Source organism: Homo sapiens, chromosome 21, assembly GCF_000001405.40.
Source record: "Homo sapiens chromosome 21, GRCh38.p14 Primary Assembly".
In the NCBI taxonomy this organism is placed as follows: Eukaryota; Metazoa; Chordata; class Mammalia; order Primates; family Hominidae; genus Homo; species Homo sapiens.
Genome location: NC_000021.9, coordinates 43,588,303 through 43,600,589, shown reverse-complemented (window position 1 = coordinate 43,600,589; position 12,287 = coordinate 43,588,303). Strand labels below are relative to the sequence as shown.

The following is a 12,287-nucleotide window of genomic DNA, read 5'->3' as shown; positions in this document are numbered from 1 at the left end:
TTAAGTCATTACTTACTGTACTCTGTCTAATGAAAAATTGGTAGGCCTCTTAAGTTTCTGTCAAGAATAATTTGGTCTAAAAATGTAATATTGCTGTGCCAATTGCTTTCTCAAATTACATGCAGTCTTTTGTAAGAATTTTATTACTTATTGTACAGTAGAATTACTTTATGGTGCTAATTTGACTACCTTAGATTTTGGTCAGTTTAGCATCACTGATTGGCTTGTTTCTGAGCAGTGAACTTCACAGATACTCCTTTTTCTTGCTTATTTTTATTGCTAGTTTGTTTTGAAGTACTGGGCGTGTTTATTCTGTTACTCGTAGGTTGCAAGTTATATTTTCTTTTAAGATGAAGAATAAGGTGGTCAAGTTGTCACTTTTACCTTTAGTGACTCAGTTGTGTTGGCCTGTGGAGGAGTGCTTTCTTGCTTTTCACACCTTGTGCTTGTTCAGCCCTGAGACCTTGTATATTTAGGTAAAGAGAACTTGCTTTTTATCGAAGATGAGTTACTCGTGTTGCTTATGTAGCATTTCGAGTTCACCAGTACCTTTATTTTAGCCATATTTTCAGTCCTTTTAAATGTCAGATGTGTCTTAGATGATCAAGACTGCAGAGACTGGGAAGTTGCTCTTTTGGAGCCTGTTAGTCCCATGTATAACAGGTTTTCTGCTGAGGTTTGTGGCAGGAAGCAGAATTTGCCTACTTTTTTTTTTTTTTTTTGTCATTGGAAGAAAAAGTCTAACACTTAGTACACTAGTTTGAGAAATAACATTTTCTTTCTTCCTTTTTTTTTTGAGACCGAGTCTCACTTTATTGCCCAGGCTGTAGTACAGTGGTGCCATCTTGGCTCGCTGCAACCTCTGCCTCCCGGGTTCAAATGATTCTCCTGCCTCAGCCTCCCGAGTAGCTGGGACTACAGGTGTGCGCCACCACGCCCAGCTAAGTTTTGTATTTTTAGTAGAGATGAGGTTTCACCATGTTGGCCAGGCTGGTCTCGAACTCCTGACCTCAAGTGACCTGCCCGCCTCAGCCTCCCAAAGTGCTGGGATTACAGGCATGAGCCACTGCATCTGGCCAAGAAATAACATTTAATATTTCAATACTAGAAGAGTAAAATGAATGGGCAGTCTCTTTAGACTTGATAATTGGAAACTTGATACACTATTTACAAATATTTTTGGTTGGAATAGAAATGTTATATTAGACGAAACATTTGCATAAGAAACAGTTTTTTGGGTTTATTTTTTGCTAACTCTTGTGTGACCTAGAAGTCTTTGGTCTTCTGTGAGATGTATCTTGGCAGTGACGTGAGGTCTCAGGTGGCAACATGGTTGTTGTAAGTATGTGTTTCATTTTAGCTTCTTAAGGATAACTGATTTTGACCAAATATGAAAATTTAAAGACATCTGCCAACTTGGGAGTTGTTTTTGCCACCTTAAATCTAAATGGCAGTCAGCAAAGAATTTCAACTGGCCATCTTTTCAGAAGGTTTCCCTGTATTACAGTTATTACCAGATGCTAGCTTTGCTTTTTAAGACATACAGAAGATTGGTTTATCTTAGTTTCATGCTGTAAGGCAGAGGTCAGCAAACTTTTTCCGTAAAGTGTCAGACAGAAAATATTTTAGGCTCTTGGGGTCGTACGATCTCTGTTGCGGTGACTCAGTTCTGCTGTTACTGCCTGTGTGAAAGCAGCCTTGGGCAATATATTTAATTCTAAGGAATTCCAACTCTCTGTGTTTGTGATCTGAAGCAGGAACTTTTCTTGGAATACTGGATTCGACACCTCACTGAATTCTAGTTAAGGTGCTAAATTTTCCTCATGAACACTACATTTGAGTAGCCCTTAATACCTCATTAAATAGGTTACTAGTGAGTAGCTTTTGAATTCATGTAAAAATTGTCAGTGAAACTTGAAAGAACTTGCAGTGTGGCTTATTTTGTAGCCCGCTGGGAGGCTGAGGACCTTGTTTTGAGAACTGAGCACCCTGTTCTGGAGGGTGCTTGCATAGCTCTGTCTTTTCTGGCTCCAGAGCATTGCCAGGGACTTTGAAAGTACCCATGGTCGGCCAGGGATGGTGGCTCATGCCTGTAATGCCAGCACTTTGGGAAGCCAAGGCAGGTGGGTCACCTGAGGTCAGGAGTTTGAGACCAGCTTGGCCAACATGGTGAAACCCCGTCTCTACTAAAAAAAAAAAACAAAAAAACCCACAAAAATTAGCCGGGTGTGGTGGTGCACGCCTGTAGTCCCAGCTACTCAGGAGGCTGAGGCAGGAGAATTGCTGGAACCTGGGAGGTGGAGGTTGCAGGGAGCCGAGATTGCACCACTGCACTCCAGCCTGTCTGTCTCTCTCAGCGACAGAGCGAGACTCTGTCTCAAAACAAAAAAACAAAAAAACAAAAAAAAAGAAAGTGCCTATGGTCACATGGGTGAGAAGGAAGACCTTAGCTTTTATATATTTTGATCTTTAATCACTGGGAGTTGATTCACTTTTCAGTAGATAAATTGAGTGCTTATTGTGTCCAGTCTTACTATACTAGTTTGTGAGATGATAAAGATAAGGCACGGAGCTTGCTTTTGACAAAGTTTAGTGGGGAAACCAGAGATTTTAATAGAGAACTACAATAGAAATTTTCTATGGCATGCATGTGTTACATGTACCATAGTATATTTAGTTAGTCCCTTTATAATGGACTTGGTCAGTATTACTGATTTTTCCTTTTGCCTTAGGCTCCAGTATGTGACCAGTTCCATCTTTATTTAAAATTTTGGGCTGGGCACAATGGCTTATGCCTGTAATCCCAGCACTTTGGGAGGCCGACGTGGGAAAATTGCCTGAGGCCGAGAATTCAAGACCAGCCTTGGCAAGATGGCAAGACCTCATACAAAAAATTAAAAAATAAGCTGGGTGTGGTGGCACATGCCTGTAGTCTCAGCTACTCAGGAGGCTGAGGCAGGAGAATTGCTTGAGCCCAGGAATTCTAGGTGGCAGTGAATAATGACTGTGCCACTGCATTCCAGCCTGAGTGACAAAGTGAGACCCTAGCTCTAGGAAAAAAAAGTAAAAAATTAAAGTTTTGCTTATTAGGGCATTTTTAATATATTTTTTTAAAATATTGCATTACATTTTTAAAAATATGGGCCACTGGGCATTTTGATACTCCCTTAAATTTACACCCAAAGCAAGTGGCTTACTCTCCTCATCCTAGCCGGCTGTGCTAGTTCAGTGTTTATTTGATAGCATGTGTACTGGAGGTGGCAGAAGGTAGGTTGTGGGGGCTCTGGACTCTGTTATCTTTTCCTGAAGGGAATTATGTGTGTCCTAGCTGGCTGTCAGCTTTGCCTGACTCATACCTGAGCTCTGGCTCTCTGGATGTGGTCTGCAGCAGAGCTGTGCCTCATTCCTCTGCCTTGCAGCTCTCCCTCTTTCTCTGCCTCACACTTGTGCCATTTAGAGGCCAGGACCTTGGAGGGTTTTCATGCACATTTTAGTGCTCCCTTGTTCTGAAACCCTCCTTTCTAGGTATCTTCTTCCCTTTCTTTCCACCCTGGTGACCCTGGACTCTGTGGTTTTACTTCTCAAGCTGGTCATCCCCAGGTTTCTGATTGAGGGTCGCTGCCTGGTGCTATGTGGCCTTGTCTAAACCTCAATATATTTGCCTCTTTATAAAAAAAAATTCTCTTTTTTTTTTTTTTTTTTTGAGACAGGGTCCTGCTCTGTCACGCAGGCCAGAGTGCAGTGGCTGGCACCGTCACAACCCTGCAGCCTTGACATCCCTGGGCTCAAGTAAGTCTCTTGCCTCAGCCTTCCGAGTAGCTGAGACTCTAGGCATGTGTCACCATGCCTATCTAATGGTTTTTTTTCTGTTGTTGTTTGTTTTTTAATGAAGAGATGGGATCTTGTTGTGTTGCCCAAGCTGGTTTTGAACTCCGGGCTCAAGCAGTCTTCCCATGTTGGCCTCCCAAAGTGCTGGGATTATAGGCATGAGCCACCCCTCTTCTTTCAAGGGGGCACTTCTCTTCAGTTTCTGCCTGCCTTTGGCTGCTTTCCATTCCCCTTAAATGGTTCCTATATTTTGTTCAGAATTTGTGATTCTTATTGGTGGAGGGTTAGTCCAATGCAAGTTACTCTGCCATTGCTGCAGCTATTTTTTTCTGGAATAAGTATTAAAGGCTGTGTGTGTGTGTGTGTGTGTGTGTATTTCACTAGCATCACAAGTTTTATTTTTGTATATTCATTCTTGTTCAGTTTCCCAATTTTCCTCATAATTTCTTTGACTTATTCTTATAGAGATGTACTTTCAGTTTTCTAAATGTTGGAGTTTTAAAACCTACTTAAAAAATGATTTTTAACTTAATTATGTGGTGGATCAGAGAATCAGCTTAATGTATTAAGTGCTATAAGAGGTGCCTTAAAATCTACCATTATTGTGGACTGGTCAGCATTTTCTTGTAGTTTTATCAATTTGTGCCTTTATGTATTTTTGAGGCTATATTATTAGGTACATACAAGTTTAAAATGCTACCCTCCTGATGAACTGAACTTTTCAGTATGAAATATTTAGCCTTGCCGGGCGTGGTGGCTCATGCCTGTAATCTCAGCACGTTGGGAGGCTGAGGTGGGCGGATCATGAGGTCAGGAGTTCGAGAGCCTAACCAACATGGTGAAACCCCATCTCTACTAAAAATACAACAATTAGCTGGGTGTGGTGGCATATGCCTGTAATCCCAGCTACTCAGGAGGCTGAGGCAGGAGAGTCACTTGAACCCAGGAGGCGGAGGTTGCAGTGAGCCGAGATGGCGCCACTGCACTCTAACTCTGTTTCACAAAAAAAAAAAAAAAAAAAAAAAAAAAAAAAAATTAGCCTCTTAATTTTTAAAGATGCTTTCCCTTCTTTTAACATTATTATTATTTTTAGTTATTATTTTTGAGATAGGGTCTTGCTCTGTCACACAGGCTGGAGTGTAGTAGCACTGTCACAGCTCATTGCAGCCTCGACCTCCTGGGCTCAAGTGATCCTCCCACCTCAGCTGCTCCAGTAGCTGGGACCACAGGGGCGTGCCATCATGCCCAGCTGTTTTTGTATTTTTTGCAGAGACGGGGTCTTGCCATGTTGCCCAGGCTGACCTCCAACTCCTGGGCTCAAGCTGCCCGCCCACCTCAGCCTCTGAAAGTGTTGTGATGATAAGCCTGAGCCACTGCACTCAGTCTGTTTTCTTTTCTGTTAATGTAGCTACCTCAGCCTTCTCTTTCTTCTTTTTTCATTAGTATTTGTTTGATATATCTTTTCCCATTCTTTTACTTTCAACTTTCTGCAAACTTTTTTTTTTAGAGTCTCACTCTGTTGCCCAGGCTGGAATGCAGTGGTGCGATCTTGCTTCACTATAACCTCTGCCTCCTGCATTCAAGAGATTCTCCTGCCTCAGCCTCTCTAGTAGTTGGGACTACAGGTACACATCACCACATGTGGCTATTTTTTAATATTTTCAGCAGAGACAGGGTTTTGCCATGTTGGCCAGGGTGGTCTTGGACTCCTGGCCTCAAGCAGTTTGCCCACCCTGGCCTCCCAAAGTGCTGGGATTACAGGTGTGAGCCACCACTCCTGGCCCCTTTCTGGAAACTTTTGTTTCAGGTGTGTTTCTTTGAAACAGTCCATGGTTGCATTTTGTTTTTCCTTTAATCTAACCATCTATAATCTATGCCTTTTAATAGGAGTATCCTGTTCATTAACATTTGTGATTAATGAAATAATTGGATTTATTTATTCTGTCATATTTTGTTTTTCTTTTTATTATGATTTTTCCAAGTTATCTTTCCCTCCCTACCTCTCTTTCTCCCTCGCTTCCTCCCTCCCTGTCTCCCTCCTTCCCTTCCTCCCACCGTCTTTCTTCCTTCTCTCTCTCCCTTCTTCTCTTTTCGTTCCTTTTCTATTCTTTCTTTCAACAGGGTCTTACTCTGTTATCTTTCTTTCAAAGTCACTAAGATCTTTTCTGAGTTCATTTTATTCTTCTAGTGTCTTGAAAGTTTACCCTTGTTTCTTTCAGTGATAGCCCCTTTTTTAAAGCATGATTTGATGTATTTGGTATACTTGAAAGTAATTAATGTCTTTCTCACCTAAACAGTAGAAGGATCTTAGAATGCTCTAATACTTACATCCTGGATTATATGCATTCATGGACTGTATCTTAGCTCTGTTGAAAAGTTTCAAAAATCCCATAGAGTAGACATTTTAATGACTGCTTTTACCCCCCAGTGTTTACTTCTGTACACTCACATCCCTTTACTTACTCCCTCCTTGTATCTCAGAACATTCTTCCAACGTCATTTTCCTTTTTCTGAAGTCTGTCCTTCAAATTCTTTCAGTTCAGATACATTTAAAAATGTCTGAGATTTTCTTTGACAACATTTTTACTTTACCTCTTTTGTTGAAAATATTTTTGCTGGGTTCACAATTCTAGCTTTATTATTATTTTCTCTTTACCCTTGGTAGATATAGAGAGCCCAGCTTTTGGTGTAATTACTCTTTTATAGGTAATATGTCCTTTCTCTCTGGCTGCTTTACAAAATTTGTCTTTAATTTTCTAAAGTTTGATTGTGATGTGTGTAGATTTGTATTTATTTTTTATCTTTCTTGAGATGTTTTTGTGCCTCCTGAATCTGAGGGTTTATATTTACTCATTTCTGGGAAATATTTTTGAAACATTTTTTTCCTTCATTCTTTCTGTTCTTTCTTTGTGGACCCTATTTGGAAGAATGTTGAACTTTTCCACCTTTGCCTCCTTGTACTTTTATCTTTCTTTAATCTGTTTTTCTTTCTTGCTGTAGTTTCTTAAGCTGTCTTTTCTGTTTAGTATTTCTCCTTTTCCATGTGTCTAATTACCCTTGAGTTTTACATTTTAATTATTGTTTTCATTTTTGTACATTCTGCTGTTATTTTTGAATTGGCTGGTCATTCAAAATAGTAATCCTAGCTTCTTGATTATGTTTTTAATTTCTTTTAAAATTATCTTCACCCATTAAACATACCAGTTTTATATTCTGCAGTTGATACTTCTAGTATCTGAAAAATTTTTGGTTCTAGCCCTGTTATTGGTTCTTTGTGCTGGCTGTTGCTTACCTGGTCTTCTTTTTCTCATGCGTCATATTATGATTTTTGTTATGAACTCCCATTTGCTAGTATGTATTTGTGGGAATTCTTTGAAGACCAGGTTGAGGATCCTTTCCTTTAATGTCCAGGAAGCTGGGGGAGCTTCTATCCCAGGTCTGTTTTATATTAAAATTACTGGCTTGGGGATTTTTCAGGCCTGCCAAAAATGTGAATTCATGCTAAGCTTGAAAGTTTCCTCTCTTCTGGTTTCTGCAGGGCCTGTGAAATGAATGTCCGTGTCTCTCTGAGGCTTTTCGCTCGGTCCCTCTGCGTGAAGCCACTGTAACTGAAGCTCTAGTCTTTTGGAATTGTAGCATCTTTTGCACTTTCCTCTAAGATTTTGTGCTCTTACTTTGTTCCTGATCAGAGATGTTTTCCTTTGATTTCTTGCAAATTCATTCATTATTTCAAAGGCTTTGCAAAAAATATTTGTCTAGCCTTTTTATTGCTCTGCAGTGTAAAGTGTTTGGGTTCTCTGTATTTTGCAGTATTTGCAGAAACCAAAGTCCTGTAGTTTCTGACTTTCATCAGACTCTGCATTGCCAGCCACGGTTCAATCCCAAAACAGCTTATAAAGTCCTGTCCTATTCAGTAAACTGCTCTGTTGGTTGTGAGGGATGGTTGGGTTGTAGTATTCTTCATTCCTTGTACTGTGATTATGTAGTCCTGTGGCCTGACCTGGCTACCTGGATGTCATGCGTAATGTTCATTGAATGAAAATATGTCATTAGGTTTTAGATGGCTGAATTGAACTTTGAGAGTATAGTACTCTTACAAATTGAGGGTAACCTGTATGTTAATGCAGGATTGGTAATAAAAGAAATGAATCAATAAATATGGTTTGTGAGGCTTCCCGTGGGACCCTCTCTGCAATCGAGACTCTTGATTATGTGAGGCTATGAAAGGCGGTATTATGTGATATCATTGCTGAAGTTTCCCATTTTCCTGTAGCCTCACGTAGACAGATGTTATTAATTCACATTATAGAATTGGACATCTAAAATGTGAGGGAAGCTCTAAATACGTTAAGTTCCTCTTAACTAGTAGGTATGTTTAGGGTGAAATGTAGTGTGGATGGAGCATTCCAACACCTTTTTCTTTTACATTTCAGGCTAATGCTGATGTCCCTATACAATGTAAGCATCAATTTGAAAGGCTTGAAATACATCAGCGAGAGTCCAGGATTCATCCCTTTGCTGTGGTGGCTTTTGAGTGGTAAGGGGGGTGGTTATCTGTCCAGCTGCTTGTACGGGTTATGCAGTAGTCCTCCCTTATCCACGGGGCATACGTTCCAAGTTTCCTAGTAGATGTCTGAAACCAGAGATAGCACCAAATCCTCTCTATATACTATATTTTTAAACATTCATACATCTGTATGTAAAGTTTAATTTATAATTAGGCATAGAGGTTATCAACAACTAATAATAAAATAGAACAATTATAATAATAAGCCAGCACCGCTACTCTTGTGCTTTAGGGTCATTATTAAGTAAAATAAGGGTTACTTGGACAACAGTGCTGTGGTACTACAGCAGTTGACCTGATGACCTAGATAGCTACTGAGTGACCTAAAGGGCGCATAGCATATGCTGGACAAAGGGATGATTCATGTCCCTGATGGGATGGAGTGGGATGGCAGCATGAGATTTCATCATGCTACGCAGAATGGTGTGCAATTTAAAACTTAAGAATTGTTTATTTCTGGATTTTTCCATTTGATGTTTCCAGACCATGGTTGACTGGCTAAGTGAAACTGTGGAAGGTGAAACTGTGGATAAGAGGGGCCTACTGTATACCTGTTCTTCTGTAGCTGAAGGAAATTTTAAAGTATTAGAAAGTAGGATTGATTGTAAGATGTTCTTTCTTTTAAAAAAAGTCAAATTTTAGAAAATTTCTTGGTATGTTAAGTTTACTCTAGTTCTGTTTCTGAAGTATTGCTTTCAATTTGGTTATAATTTACTGGTGTCCCTACAACACAAAGAGAAATTGTCTCTTATAAAACAGCAGGTAAACAGCATCAGCCTATCCCATTCTCTATTACAGCACAGTACTCTATGTGGGTATGTGGTTCTGTCAGATAAAAGAGAAGACCCATTGTTAAATAATTTGGGTAAAAAGAAATTGGAAAGACACTGCAGCTATGAAGAGAAGTACACATGTATAGTATGTGTGTGTTTTAAAATTTCTTTAAAAAGCTATCTTTACTGCATCCTTTCCTCTTCACCCTTAACTACCAATCTAACCTAAAGTTCTGTCCCAATTTCATCATAATTTTTAACACTATATGTTGTTTAATGAGTATACATTTCACCCATGTATAAAAATAAATTAATTTTCCTTATTTTTTTATGATTCAAATTAACCTCTTTTTTTTAGTGTCAGTTCCATTTGGTGGTGAATGCTTTTTTAAAAAATAGCTTTATTGATGTGTAATCGACATGTAATAAGTTGCATATATTTAAAGTGAACAATTGATAAGTATTGATATAAATGTCCACCTGTAAAATTATTATCACAATCAAGGTAATGTGCAAACCCATCACCTCCAAAGGCACTTTGTGCCCCTTTGTGGTCCCTCCTTCCTGCTCCTCTCCCTGCTTTCCAGAGAGTGACTCGCCTCCTTTCTGCGCTGTAGTTAGTTTTCATTTTCTTTGATTTTATATAAGTGGAATCATAGTTTGTATTCTTTTTTGCCGTGCTTCTTTCACTCAGCATAATTATTTTGAGATCCATCCATGTTGATTTTGAGACCCATCCATGTCTATCCATGTGTCTATTAATAGGTCATTATTTTTTATTGCTAAATATTCCATGTTGTGGATATGCCACAATTGTGTATTCATTCAGCTAGTGATGGACATTTGGGTTGTCTCCAGCTTTTGACTACTATACATAAAGCTGCTGGGAGCATTCTTGTACAAGTCTTTGCATGGACATATGCTTTTGTTTGTCTTGGGTAAATACCTAGAAGTGGGATCACTGAGACATGTGGTAGGTGCATGTTAGTTTTTATGAAACTGCCACCCTGTTTTCCAAAGTGCTTGTACCATCTTACATTCCCAGCAGCATTGTATTAGTGTATGGTCATTCTCTTTAATTTTAGACATTCCAATAGGGATACCGTGATACTTCACTGTGGTTTTAATTTGTATTTTTGTTGTGACTAATGATGTTGAGTATCTTTTCATGTTTTGCCATTCACGTAACTTCTTTGATGATATCTGTTTGTATGTTTTGTTTATTTTAAAAAAATTGGATAGATTCTTACTGAATATTGAGAGTTCTTTATGTATTCGGTTTGTGTCCTTTGACAAATGTGTTGGAAAAATATTTTTTCCCAGCTTGTGGCTCATCTTTCATTCTCTTAAGAGCATCTTCTGAAGAGCAGAAGACCTATCTTAATTGTGATAAAGTTTATAATTCTTTTTCTTCGAAGAAGCATGCTTTTGTTGTAGAAATTTTTTCCTAAATCAGTGTCACAAAGGTTTTCTAATGTGTTTTCTCCTAGTAGTTTTATAGTTTTGCATTTCACGTTTAGGTATATGATTTGTTTTGAATTGGTATCTGTTTGTGGTGAGAGTTTTTGTTGTTGTTGTTGTTTTTATTTTTATCGTTTGCTTTGTTTTTTTGCATAAGACTTTCTATCTAGTTGATCCAGTACCATTTGTTTTGAAGACTTTGTTCTCCAGGGAATTGCCTTTGCACCTTGTTGACAGTCAGTTGACAATACATGTGAAGGTCATTTTGGATTCTGTTCTGTTCCATTCATCTATTTTTGGATCATTATGCCAATACCATGCTTTATAATAAATCTTGATAGCTTTATAATAAATCTTAAAGTCAGGTAGTATAAGTCGTCCAACTTTGTTCTCTTTCAAGGTTGTTTTGGCTATTTTTAAGCCCTTTGCCTTTCCATATGAATTTAAAAATCAGCTCGTCACTTGCTACCAAAAAGAATCCTGTTGGAATTTTTATTGGGATTGTGTTGAATCAACAGTTCATTTTGGGGGATAATTGACACTTTAGCAATATTGAGACTTACAATCCATGAACACAAGTATATGTCTTCATTTATTTAGATATTGTCGAGACACAAGGGTCACTCCTGTTTCTTCATGTGTTAAGAGCAGAGGAACTGACCTCCTTTGTTTCTGGCTAGCTTTTCAAGGATGTGTGTATAGCAGACATCCTTAGAGGACAGAGATACTGTCTCCTTCCAGAGCAAAAAGGGTAGGTTTGTTTACCCTTATGTAGTAAAGATAATGTTTCCCTCTAGGGCAAAGTTCAGCCAGAGCTTGGGGTTCCTCTCCTGTGACACAGCCCACACAGCATGTATGTGGCCTTGTGGAATTGGGTCTTAAACTGGCATAAATGCTCTGGCTATGGCTGTTGCTATAACAAGTTCTTGGTCTCAGACTCAAGAGTTTGTGTCTTCTGCCAGTGTCTGTAAGACTCTAGCATGCTAGCTTGTTAGCTTGCAAGCTTGCAAGTAGGGTAAAGCCCTAGACCCTCCACAGTTTGAGGGCAGGTCCAGGGGGCTATGCTTGTACTCCATTGACAACACTTACCCACCAGGGTTGGATACTTGACCAGACAGCTTTTTTCCTCTCAAGAATCATAGAATCAGAGGTGGTTCCTAGACCTGACCTGTAAGGTAACTATTCAGGCTGGTTGTTACGGGCCGTGAGCAAGCGGACAGTGTCAGTCTGTGGGAGAGGATGCTGGTGGTGCCAGGGAGAGAATAATTAAATAAGAATACCTAATACTTCTTGAGTACCAGTCATGGCTTTAAGTGTGTTACGTTTGTTACATTTATGTCTGTCAGTACCCTGTAAGGTAAATACTGTTTCTGTATCATAGATGAAGAAACTGAGGCATGGAAGTGAGTAAGGTGCCAAGGTTATATAGTTATGGGGTGGTGGAGCTGAGATTTGAGACCCCGACCGCCTGGCTCCAGACCCTGTTTCCCAACAACGCTACAGGACTGCTGCTCAGCAGGACATGTCTCGGGTGGAAGCCTTAGTGCTGGATGACTTCTTATTTATTTATTTATTTATTTTTGAGATGGAGTTTCACTCTTGTTGCCCAGGCTGGAGTGCAGTGATGCAATCTTGGTTCACTGCAACTTCCGCCTCCT

At 39.4% G+C, this 12,287-nt stretch overlaps 1 protein-coding gene across 17 annotated transcripts in view; it reads left to right on the top strand.

The window, feature by feature from the left end:
• HSF2BP (heat shock transcription factor 2 binding protein) overlaps positions 1–12,287 on the top strand; it is a 214,517-nt gene that overhangs the window by 58,899 nt on the left and 143,331 nt on the right. For 12 of the 17 annotated variants that reach the window (XR_007067782.1, XR_007067781.1, XR_007067780.1 and 9 more), the window contains one exon: positions 8,262–8,365. The exons of the other annotated variants lie outside the window; for them this stretch is intronic. Coding sequence is in view for 9 of the 12 variants with exons in the window: in XM_017028269.2 (XP_016883758.1) it covers positions 8,262–8,365 (104 nt within the window). In the remaining 3 variants the exon portion in view is untranslated. The remainder of the gene's footprint in view (positions 1–8,261; positions 8,366–12,287) is intronic. 17 annotated transcript variants of the gene reach the window in all.